Source organism: Homo sapiens, chromosome X (assembly GCF_000001405.40).
Source record: "Homo sapiens chromosome X, GRCh38.p14 Primary Assembly".
Classification (NCBI taxonomy): Eukaryota; Metazoa; Chordata; class Mammalia; order Primates; family Hominidae; genus Homo; species Homo sapiens.
In genome coordinates, this window is record NC_000023.11 from 2,687,988 (window position 1) to 2,701,568 (window position 13,581).

Consider the following 13,581-nt stretch of genomic DNA (forward strand, 5'->3'; position numbering starts at 1 on the left):
ACCAACCCAAATGTCCATCAATAATAGACTGGATAAAGAAAATGTGGCACATATACACCATGGAATATACGCAGCCATAAAAAAGGATGAGTTCATGTCCTTTGCAGGGACACGGATGAAGCTGGAAACCATCATTCTCAGCAAACTATCACAGGAACAGAAAACCAAACACCGCATGTTCTCACTTATAAGTGGGAGTTGAACAATGAGAACACATGGACACAGGGAGGGGAACATCACACACCAGGGCCTGTTGGGGGGTGGGGTGCAATGGGAGAGAGAGCATTAGGAGAAATACCTAATGTAGATGATGGGTTGATGGGTGCAGCAAACCACTATGGCGTGTGTATACCTATGTAACAAAACTGCACGTTCTGCACATGTACCCCAGAACTTTTTTTTTTTTTTTTTGAGACGGAGTCTTGCTCAGTCGCCCAGGCTGGAGTGCAGTGCCACGATCTCGGCTCACTGCAAGCTCTGCCTCCCGGGTTCACGCCATTCTTCTGCCTCAGTCTCCTGAGTAGCTGGGACTACAGGCGCCCGCCACCACGCCCGGCTAATTTTTTTTTGTATTTTTAGTAGAGATGGGGTTTCACCATGTTAGCCAGGATGGTCTCAATCTCCTGACCTCGTGATCCACCTGCCTCGGCCTTCCAAAGTGCTGGGATTACAGGCGTGAGCCACCGCGCCCAGCCTGTACCCCAGAACTTAAAGTATAATAATAACAATAATAAAAAGACAGGTGTTATCTCAGAGCCCCTGACTCAGTCGGCTGGGCAGCAAGTATGCCAGCCCAGGAATGGGCCAATAGATGAGGCAGGGCTTTGTAAACCAAAAATAAAATTCTTTAAGAGGCTGGAGTGGGTGGATCACTTGAGGTCAGGAGTTCCAGACTAGCCTGGCCAACATGGCGAAACCCCATCTCTACTAAAAATATAAAAATTAGCCAGGCGTGGTAGCAGGTGCCTGTAATCCCAGCTACTCAGGAGGCTGAGGCAGGAGAATCGTTTGAACCTGGGAGGTGGAGGTTGCAGTTAGTTGAGATGGTGCCACAGCACTCTAGCCTGGCCGAGAGAGTAAGACTCCGTCTCAAAAACTAAATAAATTAATAAAATAAAATAAAATTCTAAGCCCCCACCGCCCCCCACCTTCAAAACATCTGAATGGACTTCTTCCTCAGCCAGAGCTCTTTAAAAATTTAACCTGAGAGAGTGTTTCAAGCCGTGACGGGAAGCAGGGGTTGAACATGCCTCCCGGTGCCTCTCCGGCGTTAACATCCACACAGCCTTTAAGTTTGAGAAGAAACATTTTACAACCTCTTCTCTCTGACCCTAGCACCGGAAGGGTTCCTGTTCAAATAAGAACTTGAGTCTTCACAATTCTTTATCTTAACCCAGACATTCTTTTCTATTGATCCCAGGACTTTAAAGAAACCCAAGCAATTGCCAATCAGAAAATTCTAAAATCTACCTATAAGCTGGAAGCCTCCTGCTTTGGGTTGTCCCGCCTTTCTGGACAAAACCAATGTGTCTCTTAAATTTCATTGATGTCTCATGCCTCCCTAAAACGTATAACACCAAGCTGCACCCCGACCACCTTGAGGACACGTTCTCGGGACCTCCTGAGGGCTGTGTCATGGGCCATGGTCACTCATATTTGGCTCAGAATAAATCTCTTCAAATATGTTAGAGTTGGACTCCTTTCTCTTTTTTTCTTTTTTCTTTCTTTTTTTTTGAGACGGAGTCTCGCTCTGTCACCCAGGCTGGAGTGCAGTGGCCTGATCTTGGCTCACTGCAACCTCCATCTCCCCGGTTCAAGCGATTCTCTTGCCTCGGCCTCCTGAGTAGCTGGGACTACAGGTGCACACCACCACACGCGTCTAATTTTGTATTTTAGAAGAGACAGGGTTTCACCTTGTTGGTCAGGCTGGTCTCCAATTCCTGACCTCAGGTGATCCACCCGCCTCGGTCTCCCAAAGCGCTGGGATTCCAGGCGTGAGCCACCGCGCCCGGCCTAGTTTGACTCTTTTCGTGGACAGTTTGAAGTGTGGAATGCAAGAATATTCAGGGTTATTTGTCAGGCTGCAAAGTTGTTCCACTACCCTGCGGGAAAATGGATACAATTTTAGGCTTAGGTGTTAACAGATAACATTGTTAAGTGTGGGAAGGGCGACAACTGCACTGCAGCTGTGGCCAGTGGCGCGGGAGGGTGTCTAAACTCAAAGCCCACTGGAAGGCGAGTCGCCCATGACCAGGACTAGGGCCCAGGTGCCCCAGATAGAAGGCACCTCGTTCCCTATTGCCCCTCACTAACTCCCGTGACCAGGAGTCCCCACTCCCAACCTTGTCCTGGGGATTCTGGGGAGAAACTGCCCCAGCGCAGAGGCTACTCCAAGGGTTGTCCTTGGTCCGGCGCAAAGGGTTCGTCCGCCACCCTCCCGGCTGCGCACCCCGCGCTCGGACGCTCTAGAAAGGACTTGGGACGGGGGTTGCCTGTGGAGCGGGGGCCTAGGCTTCCTGAGCAGGGAGAGGATTGCACTTTGCTCCCCTTGGGGAACTCCCTGAGGTGAGCAGCGGGGAGGGGCCCCCATACTTTTCCCAGCAGGGGAGCCGGGAGTTTCCTCTGCTCCCACTGCAGAGCAGGGGAGGGTCCCTGCTAGGGGCGGAGAAGGGGCTGCAGGGGCGAGTGGGGAGGGGGGCTACACGTTTCCAAGAAGGGCGGCAGTTTCGTGTCGCTACAGTTGCAGGCGTGCATTTAGGAGGCTGTAGACAGGGAGGGACCCGCACTTTCCCGAGCAGGGGAGCTGCTGGGAAAGTTTGTTTTTTTGCTCCCACTGGAGACCAGGGGGTGAGGGGCGGAGAAGTGGCTGCAGGGGCGAGTGGGGAGAGGGGGCTCTATGTTTCCAAGAAGGGCGGCAGTTTTGTGCCACTACAGTTAAGGGCCGCCCTCGGGCGTGCATTCAGAGGGCTGTAAACCGGGAGGGACCCGCACTTTCCCGAGAACGTTGTAGTTCACTTTGCTTCGGGTCGGCGCCGCCCTGGCTACGGCCCTGTGGGTGGGTGAGGGGGCGTGGGCAGTTTCCTGAGAAGGGGCGGGGCGTGTACCGTACTCCCCTCGGCGCTGCCTGGGCCACCCCCGCCCGCCTACCCCCTCTGTCTCCTCCCCGGGCCCGGCGTTCCCGCCCCTTCTGTGCGCGCGTGGAGGCCGGGGCGGGGCGGGCGCAGCCGGCGCTGAGCTTGCAGGGCCGCTCCCCTCACCCGCCCCCTTCGAGTCCCCGGGCTTCGCCCCACCCGGCCCGTGGGGGAGTATCTGTCCTGCCGCCTTCGCCCACGCCCTGCACTCCGGGACCGTCCCTGCGCGCTCTGGGCGCACCATGGCCCGCGGGGCTGCGCTGGCGCTGCTGCTCTTCGGCCTGCTGGGTGTTCTGGTCGCCGCCCCGGGTGAGCGAGCGGAGGGATCCGGGTTGGGGGACGCGGAGGGCGCGGGCCGGGACTGGGGATCCGCTTGAGATGCGGCGTTGGGGGCGCCCCGCGGGGACACCCGGAGCCTCCTCCCTGCCCGGCAGGACGCGCTGTGCCCACGGGGGCCCAGGCCCGGAGGAGGCGCCCACTTTCTCCCCAACGCTTTTCCTGGAGCCGTTCCAGAGAGAAAAGTCAGCGTTTGTTGTCGGAGTTGCAAACTCTTACATGTGGGGCGGCCTTGGGAGAGGTGCGTCCGATTTTTCCCAATCTAGGGGACCTTCTTACAGATCTCTCTCCCTTTGCATGAGCCCCTCACCCCACCCCGTTATCTACCCCCAGGGTTTGGGGACCTGCGTCTTCAGGCCGCGCGCGGAGGCCGCCCTGGAGTTGCCTGTCACAGCCACGCCCTGCGTCCCGGGCCTAAATTTGGAATCGCTAGGAGCCTGAGACCCGGGTGGTGGGGGGAAGGGAAGGAAAAGTTAGAAAAAAACTTTGAGCCCTGAAAATGTTCAAAAATACTCTGTGGATGCGGGCTCCGGGAATTTCAGCGCGTGCTGTGCGCCAAGCAACACGGGGCGCAGAAAGAAACGTGTGCTTACCAAATTGTCCATCTGCGGCGGTGGAGAATTCGGAAAACAGAAAAAGTGGGCAGGGAAGAAAGAGCCACGGTCACCCTCCCACGCCCTAAACCGGGCCTATTTCTAATTATTACTTTAATCATGTTTTTCTGTTTCCCTCCCTTTGAAACGGAAACGGAGACCCTGCCGGATGTGGTATGTTATAAATTCTTTTTTCATGTTATAAATTCTTTTTTCAATGGTCAGTGCATTTTTTGCTCTTCGTATGGGCAGGCTTTTAAGTAGACCGGCTTGCGGGCAGTGTGGACTTCAGGACGGGCCTTATCAGGGCTGGACGTATTTAGGAAGGAGACGCGGGAACGCCCGGCCCTGGGGAGGACGGAGGAGGCCCGATTTGTGTTGATAGGATCTAGCTCAGCCTAGAGCTGCGGTGACTAGGCCGGGTCTCTATTTTTAGGGAGGAGTTGCTAATGGATTTACACCCTCTTTAAAGGGGTCCCGGGTATCCTAGAAATTGTGCTTTCACTTGGTAGAGATTAGAGATAATGAAGCCTGCTCCGTAGAGGAAAACTTGGAGGACTTTCCAGCCTGCAGGGGAGGTTCCAAGCAGAGCTTCCTGTTTCTCCCTTTTCTTCCTAAATGTCCTTCTTGCGGGCAACCTGTCACCACGGACGGGATGGCTCTGTAGGGTTTTATCAGCTGCATTTGTTCCCCAGGCACCTGCAGATGAACGGGTTTTTCACTTGTCTCTCTGCGAATGCATTCCTTCATCCTTCATGCCTGCCTTCCTTCTTTTGCACCTACTGTGGGCTTGGGGTCAGGGAAATATATCCAAGGGAGTGCTGGTGGCCTAAGAATTCAGTTTCCTGGAGAACAGAGGCATCTGAACAGGCAGACGGGAGACAGGGCCACAGGGACCTTTATAGTTCCATCACGAAATAACTCAGGGGTTCCCAGTGGTAAATCTTGGTGAGGGGCTTGGCTGGATTTTGAAGCCCTAGGGACAGATTTGCCGGCTGGTCTGGCGTTCCAGGTCATTGGAGCAGAGTGAGTGGAAAGCCTTATATTCTCTAAGCCCCAAACAAGTCGTTGCACAGTTTTTTTGTTTTTGTTGGTGGTGGTGGTTTTTTTTTTTTGGACGGAGTTTCACTCTGTCACCAGTCTGGAGTGTAGTGGCACGATGTCGGCTCATTGGCGTTGCACAGTTTTTAAACCCACAGCAGTGTTCATCTGGAACTCCTGATTTTGGAAGCAGACTGGGCTTAGGAACTCCAGCTGCTGATGCTTTGAGTAAAGGGAAGAGTACCTGTCTATGGGGTGGGTGGGTAGGGAAGAGCAGTGGGATAGGGGCATAACAGGGGCCAACCTATCCTTCCAATTGCAGAGGAGGGCCTGGCCGTCAGCACTGATGGATCTCCTTGAGGGACGCTTCTCACCCCTTCTTTGCAGTCTGACCCTGCTAGAGATGGAGACAGAAACAGCCTGTCCCAATAATATTAATACACGTTTCATCGGGAAAGTTGACTTTTGAGTTGGTGATGCTCAGAACACACTTTCTTATAGCAACGTGCATCAGGCTGCAAAACCCCGTTGAGCCTGAAGTAGGTTCTCAGACTGGTGCTGATAGCTCTGGCCTGATCTCAGAGTGTTGGGGACCCTGTGTTCCTTGGTTCCTTCATAAATTCTCAGGGGTACAGGTGGGATGTGGTGAGGGATGGATGGACAGAGGGAGGTGTATAGAGGAAAAGAGGAGGCTTCAGCTTTGTAGAGAGCAGGATGTCCCCACAGGGCGACGTTGGCCCCGAGGAGACACTTTGTGATGGTTGCAGACATTTTTGGTTGCCACCCTGGGGTGGGACATCCCACCATCCTGCAATGGGTGGGGCAGCTTAGGGAAGCTGCTCAGAATCTTTCAAGGGCCAGGACGGCCTCCAGCACAAAGAATTCATCTGGTCCCAAATGCCAGTGGTGTTGAGGGTGGAAAACCCTGAGGAGGGCTTGGGAGTTGCATGTATGCGCTGATTCAGGGCTGCCCCTGCAGTTAGGAGCCTGCCGTCCCGACAGTAGAGTCGCACACATCCGATGCATCCCTGCTCTCTGGCAAAGGCTGATTTGCCCCACCCCCCGGGGCAACGGCACAGCGGCCTGTGCGGTTTGAAAAACTCCAAACATCTACGGAACCGACATCTCTTGAACAATACCAGGCCTCTTCAGGATTCCCTCGCCCCAGTAGAGCAAGTGTGGGCTTCGTTGTTTTTTTTTTTTTTTAACTCTCTCCAGAGCTCTTGTCTCCTGCCCCTGTGGGTGTGTGTGGAAGTTATTAGGAGAATGTTTCTGGGCAGAGGAAGTGGGTTTTATCATCCAGCGAGTTTGCCTTGATTTTCCATCAGCGCGTTTGGCTCTGGTAAAAGTTGATTGCTTTGCATTTAACTCCCTACTTTAGGCCGAGCACGGTGACTCAGGCCTGTAAATCCCAGCACTTTGAGAGGCCGAGGGCCGGTGGGTCACATGAGGCCAAGAGTTCGAGACCAGCCTGGCCAACATGGCAAAACCCCGACTCTACTAAAAATACAAAAATTAGCCGGGCGTGGTGGTGAGCGCCTATAATCCCAGCTACTCAGGAGGCTGAGGCAGGAAAATCACTTCAGCCCGGGAAGCAGAGGTTGCAGTGAGCTGAGATCGTGTCACCGCATTATGGCCTGGGTAACAGAGAGAGACTCAGTCTCAAAGAAAAAAAAAAACTTCCTGCTTTAGCTCTTTCTCCTTTCTCTGTGTATGAGACAGAGTTTTCATGTAAAGACAAATACATGTCTTTACACTTTGGAGATACTCAAGTAAATGATTGTTTGTCTGGAAATCATTTTTCTTCCTGAAGGTCCTATGGTGGGTACATGCTGTCATTTAGAAAGAAATGCAGCTCATACAATACTTTTCCCAATTCAGCATTTAGGAATCATGGCGGGATTTCATGGATACTGTCTGGAATGTTTTCGGACTCAGATATCTTCCCCCGGGGAAATAGACTTCTCAGTAGCCACGTGGACCTTGTGCTGGTTTTCAGTCCTGCTGAAAATGTTCTGAGCACTCTTGTTACTTTAGGGGAAAAGAATTACGTGTCCTTTGTGATTTATAGACACAGTAAGAAATAAGACCTGTGTGTCTCTCGGGGTGCGAAGGAGGAAAAGTCTTTTTTTTTTGAGATGGAATTTTCCTCTGTTGTCCAGGCTGGAGTGAAGTGGCACGATCTCAGCTCATGGCAATCTCTCCATCTCAGGTTCAAGCAGTTCTCCTGCCTCAGCCTCCCAATTAGCTGGGACTACAGGCATGCACTGCATATCTGGCTAATTTTTGTATGTTTAGTAGAGAAGGGGTTTCACTATGTTGACCAGGCTGAAAAATATTTTTTTGAGGTGGGGTCTCTGTTGCCCAGACTGGAGTGCAGGGGTGCAATCAGGGCTCACTACAGCCTCCACCTCCTGGGCTCAAGCAATCCTTCCACCTCAGCCTCTGTAGTAGCTGGGACTACAAGCACACACCACTGTGCCTGGCCACTTTTAAATTTTTTTGTAGAGACAGGGTCTTGCTATGTTGCCCAGACTGAAAAAAAAGTCTTTTTTTTTTTTTTGAGACAGTGTCTCACTGTGTCACCCAGGCTGGAGTGCAATGGCAGGATCTTGGCTCACTGCGACCTGTGTCTCCCGGGCTCAGGCAATTCTCCTGCCTCAGACACCTGAATAGCTGGGAATACAGGCACATGTCACCACACCTGGCTATTTTTTGTATTTTTAGTAGAGACGGTGTTTCACCCTGTTGGACAGGCTGGCCTCAAACTCCTGGCCTCAAGTGATCTGCCCACCTTGGCCTCCCAAAGTGCTGGGATTACAGGTGTGAGCCACCTGAAAAATCATTGTAAAAATCAACTGTCCTACATTCTTATTTGGAAGTGACTCCTCTAACCAAAGACAGGGAAAAACAAACCAAACTTTATTAACATGCGTTTTTCATTGATACATGAGAGATACCTAGAAATGGGTAGTTTTCAAGGAAGTGGCTTGGATTCTAGCTGCTCTAGTACCCTCAACAAAGAACAGTCCATTTTTAGAGAATTGGCAGAGAAAGACAAAGGACTTTGAGTCTTCAGGGGCAGCAACAAAATGGCAGAGAAAGGCTGGTTATTGAAGCTTGTTCATTCTGAGTCCTGTGTTCCATGTCCCAGGCCCATGTGGATTTTCTGCTGTCTTCCGTGCTTCACCTCTGTTCTCCCAGTTGGGGAGGTGGGGTTCGGATTGCTTGTGAATGTGGGCTCATCGTTGCTGGTGTAGCTGCAGGCTGCAGGCTGTCCAGGGCTTGAGGATTTGCTGATATTCTTTCTTTTCTTTTCTTTTTATTTTGAGATGAAGTCTCGCTCTTTTTCCCCAGGCTGGAGTGCGATGGTGCGATCTCGGCTCACTGCAACCTCTGCCTCCCAGGTTCAAGCAATTCTCCTGTCTCAGCCTCCTGAGTACCTGGGATTACAGGTGCCCGCCACCACACCTGGCTAATTTTTGTATTTTTTTAGTAGAGGTGGAGTTTCACCATCTTGGCCAGGCTGGTTTCGAACTCCTGACCTCAGGTGATCCGCCCGCCTCGGCCTCCTAAAGTGTATTCTTTTTTGATTTATTCCCAGTCTCTTGGCTGAAACATGGTAGCTCACCAGCATTTCTACTCCCATTTGTCCAACTGACGGTATCTTTTCACATCTCTAGAGACCAGAAGGACTTCCTCTTCTTGAATTTCCTGTTCAGTATTCTTTCTTGGCTTGGTTCCTTGGTGAGTTTTGAGGAGATGGTGCATGGGTGTGTTTTTCGGCTTTGTTTTAGTATGACTCAGGGTTGCCACCATGCCTTGTACGGTCTCCTAGTCATAGTATTAAAGTTTCCGCTTAGCAGGAAACCAGAAACTTCCTTTCTTCTCCCCCAGAGTCAGATTCAAACCAGTGTTTCTCAAGTGGGCTGTGAAAGTAGCTTGCAGCCACCCACCTTGCAAAGAAGAAAATTCAACAGAGGAGAGGAGAAAATGCCCACAGGGTACATGGAAAGCCTTGCTAAAGAAGCCGCATGGGCAAAGCTTTTGTTCCGCTCCCTCTGTCCCGGTGGGCTGGGCTGAGATATAATATATGTTTGTCATTGTGGACGGCAGCTGGATGAGTCTGAAAGCGGTTGCAAACCCCTTTAATTCACTTTGCTTTCTCAACTTTGAATGGTGTCGTGGGCTGGGGTGGGTCCCCTGTTTTTGAGAATCACCTGAAAGAGTCTGATTTTCTGCATCTTTTCGGGGAGTAAAGCTGTTGCTCCAAAGCGCTGTTTAAAAGCTGATAATAGTGTATCTGGTTGAGCTAACAGCCCTTCTTGAGGAGGCAGCAGACTGGCCAGAGGGTTCTGCAGGCATTACTCATCAGCGACACCTGAGTTTGCCCAGGTAGCCTGACTCTTGTTTGTTTCTGCTTTGCCTGACCCTGCAAAATTATTGTCCAAATGCACCCTGGCAAGCATTGATCCACGAGGGGATGCTGACCAGAAGGAGCTTTCGTTTCTGCACGATGGACTGGAACACGATGGACTGGAATGATGACAAGAATAAACACACTGCATTGTCTTTTAGGGCCAATGGACTTGGAGGCATAGAGATTTTATAACTACTGCCAGAACCCAAATATTGCCAGTCGGCCTCTTCTGCTGCTGTTGCTAGCTGTCTTCTTCTGGGGGAAATGGGTTGGGTTCTAAATATGAATTAACACAGGGCTGTCTTCGATGAATTCAGCACAAAATGTTCTCAGCAATTGAACACTCGGAGAGAAGTGTTAGGCATTTAGTGCAGACTCATAGAATAGCAGGACAGGGAGGGATTTGGATCTGGGCAAGCAGGAGATGGATATGAACATCTGTCTTTTGAGACCGTGCCGAGGTGGCAATGAAGGTAGAGGCCCCCTGTGTTGAGGTCTTTACTCAAGAGGCTGTGGTCCTTTGGGACTAACATAGCATCCGATAGACAGACAAGATGGACAGCTACAGCCACCTATGGGAAGCGGTTTCTACTCTTAAACCACAAGCCCCTAGACACTCATCATATCATAAACATATCACCGGGCAGTGGCTTGCAATCTTTTTTTTTCTTTGTTTCTTTTTTTTTTTTTTTTTAGACTTGCCCAGGCCGGAGTGCAGTGGCACGATTGTAGCTCACTGCAGTCTTGACCTCCTGGGTGCAGGTGAATCTCTCACCTCAGCCTTCCAAGGAGCTGGGACCACAGGCATGTGCCACCCTCAGCTAATTTTTAAAATCTTTTTGTAGAATCGGAGTCTGACTACATTGCCCAGGCTGGTCTTGAACTCCTGGGCTCAAGCAAACCTCTCGCCTCAGCTTCCCAAAGTGCTGGGGTTACAGGCGTGAGCCACCATGCTCAGCCTGCAATCATTTTTTTTGAGACAGGATCTCACTCTGTCGCCCAGGCTGAAGTGCAGTGGTGTGATCTCAGCTCACTGCAGCCTCGAACCCCCAGGCTCAGGTGACCTGCCCACCTTAGCCTTCTGTGTAGTTGGGACTATGGGCACATGCCACCACACTCAATTAATTTTTACCTTTTTTGTAGATACAGAGTTTTGTTCTGTCGCCCAGGCTGGTGGACATATTTTAATCCTACAGAGTCCAGGCTAAAAACACACCAGTAACTGTGATGCCCATCCCTCCTGCATTCCTGATTTCTGAGTGATGGTTTCAGACACAAACCTGCTTGACCACCCTCCAGTAGCTCTTGCTGACCTAGATCCGAGGTTCTCAGCTTTGGCCCCATTGCGGGAAGCTTGGAAACGTCACTCTTGCCCAGGGTTACCTGGGTAGTCTGGTTTATAGACGTGTTAGGTGTTTTAATTTTTTTTTTTTTTTGAGACAAGATTTTGCTCTGTCACCCAGGCTGGAGTGCAGTGGTACAGTCATAGCTCACTGCAGCCTCAACCTCCTGGGTTCAAGCAGCCCACCTACCTCAGCCTCGAAAGAAGCTGGGACCACAGGTGCACCTCACCATACCCAGCTAATCTTTTCTTTCTTTTTGTTTTTTTCTTTTCTTTCCTCTTCTTTTCTTTTCTTTTGTTTTCTCTTCTCTCTTTTCTTTCTTCTTCTTCTTTTTTTTAGACAGAGTCTTGCTGTGTTGCCCAGGCTGGAGTGCCTTGGTGCAATCTTGGCTCACTGCAACTTCCGCCTCCCTGGTTCAAGTGCCTCTCTTGCCTCAGCCTCCTGAGTAGCTGGAACTACAGGCACGCACCACCACGCCTGGCTAATTTTTGTATTTTTAGTAGAGACGGGATTTCACTATGTTGGCCAGGATGGTCTCGAACTCCTGACGTCGTGATCTGCCCACCTCGGCTTCCCAAAGTGCTGGGATTACAGGTGTGAGCCACCGCGCCCAGCCTTTTTTTTTTTTTTTTTTTTAAATTACAGAGTCTCACTCTGTCACCAGGCTGGAGTGCAGCGATGCAATCTTGGCTCGCTGCAACCTCTGCCACCCAGGTTCAAGTGATTCTTCTGCCTCAGCCTCCCTCAGGCGTGAGCTGGCACGCCCAGCCAAATTTTTCATTTTTTGTAGAGACAGGGTCTCCCTATGTTGCCCAGTTTAGTCCTGAACTCCTGAGTTCAAGCCATCCACCTGCCTTGGCCTGGCAAAGTCTTGGGTTTATAGGCGGGAGCCACTGCATCCCGCTATTAGGAATTTTTAAAAAGCCCCTCGGAGGGTCTTCATGTGTGGCTGAGTTGTCAAGAATCATTGTTATTTTACTAGATATTCTGTTTCTTCCCTCCTACATGAGATTTCCCATGACCGCCTCTCGGATGTGAATGTCTATGCCATGGATTACATTTTTCAAAGAGCATTCAGTTTGTTATTTCATCTTCAGCGAGCCCTTAAGATATTTCTCATGGGCCTTTTGTAGATAAAGACACTGGGGTCAGAGAGTTCAGGAGCTTGCTGGTGATCACATGGTCAGCATGGGGAAAAATGCATGTGGACATGAGTTCTGTTGGTGGTGAGACGTGGGCACAGGGGTTGCTGGGCTTGGGAGTTGGTGGCTGCGTGTGTGGGCTGAACAGAGCTCCCCAGGCACGGCCTTGTGGACCTTGAGGGATGCCTGCCTTCACCACTAGTGTGACTTGAAGGGGAGGAGAATGTCCTGAATCAGTGATGGGCATTTTGATATGGAAGAGAACTCCCTTGAATCCTGGTGGTGAACTTAGACCAGTCACTGAGGCCTCTCCAGCTCCTCAGGGTCTCCGTGTTCTAGGTATCCATGTGTCCTTCCATCCATTTATCCATCCATTTATGCATCCATGCATCCATCCAGCCATGCATCCTCCTTTTATCCATCCATCCATCAACCCATCCTCCCATTCATTTACCCATCCATCCGTTCGTCCATCCATCCATCCATCAACCCATCCTCCCATTCATTTACCCATCCATCCATTCATCCATGCATCCATCCATCCATGCGTGCATCCATCCATCCATTTATCCATCCATCCATCCATCCATCCGTCGTCCCATTCCTTTATCCATCCGTTAATGCACCTGTCCATCCATCCATCCATTCTCCATTCATCTTTCCATCCATGCATCATCCATGCATCCATCCTTTTAGTTCATCCAGCCACTCATCAATTGATACATCCATCTGTCCACCATCCACTCATCTATCCATCCATTCACCCATCCTTTCATCAATTTACCCATCTACCATCCATCCATTTATCCGTTCACCCATTCATCTATCCATCTGTCCATCCATCCACCTATCTGTTCATCCATCCATCCATTCATCTATCCATCCATCCACCTACTCACCCACCCACCCATCCATCCACCCACCCAACCATCCATCCACCCAACCATCCATCCATACCTCCATCCGTCTACCCACCCACTCATCCACTTAACTACCCATCCATCCACTTATCCATGCATTCATCCATCCATCCACCTACCTACTCACCCACCTAAACTCATCTATCCACTCAACCATCCATCCACCTATCCACCCTTACCTCCATCCATCCCCTTACTGCCCATCTTTCCACTCATCCCATCCAACTACCCATCCATCCACCCAGCTGTCCACCCAACCATCCACCCACTCACTAATTTATCCACTCACCCACGCATGCATCCATCCATCCATCCATCCACCCACCCATTTACCCACCCACCCATCCATCCACTTACCTGCCTGTCCATCCACCCTCCCAGTCCATGGCTCTTTCATGTATTCCTTCAGCCAGCATAGGTTGAAGTTAAATGTACTATTGGTGCTATTTGCTGTGGTCCCTGTTTTTTGTTCTCTGCTTTGGAGGTAACAACCAGGGCATCAATTTGGGCATAAAAGCACCATTGTGGATGGAAGGCCTGGATGTCTGGAGGCACAGAGCAGGGACTACACTTGTTCAGGGGGTCAGAGAGAGTTCTCCCAGGAGGGGCCCTCCCTGGACACTGAGCTTCCAAGAATGAGCAGAGGAAACCAGGT

General features: G+C 51.0%; 1 protein-coding gene across 7 annotated transcripts in view; it reads left to right on the forward strand.

The window, feature by feature from the left end:
* The window catches only part of CD99 (CD99 molecule (Xg blood group)), a 50,015-nt gene continuing 39,741 nt past the window's right edge, over nucleotides 3,308-13,581 (forward strand). For all 7 annotated transcript variants that reach the window (NR_135623.2, NM_002414.5, NM_001321368.2 and 4 more), the window contains exon 1: nucleotides 3,308-3,440. Coding sequence is in view for 6 of the 7 variants with exons in the window: in NM_002414.5 (NP_002405.1) it covers nucleotides 3,374-3,440 (67 nt within the window). In the remaining variant the exon portion in view is untranslated. The remainder of the gene's footprint in view (nucleotides 3,441-13,581) is intronic.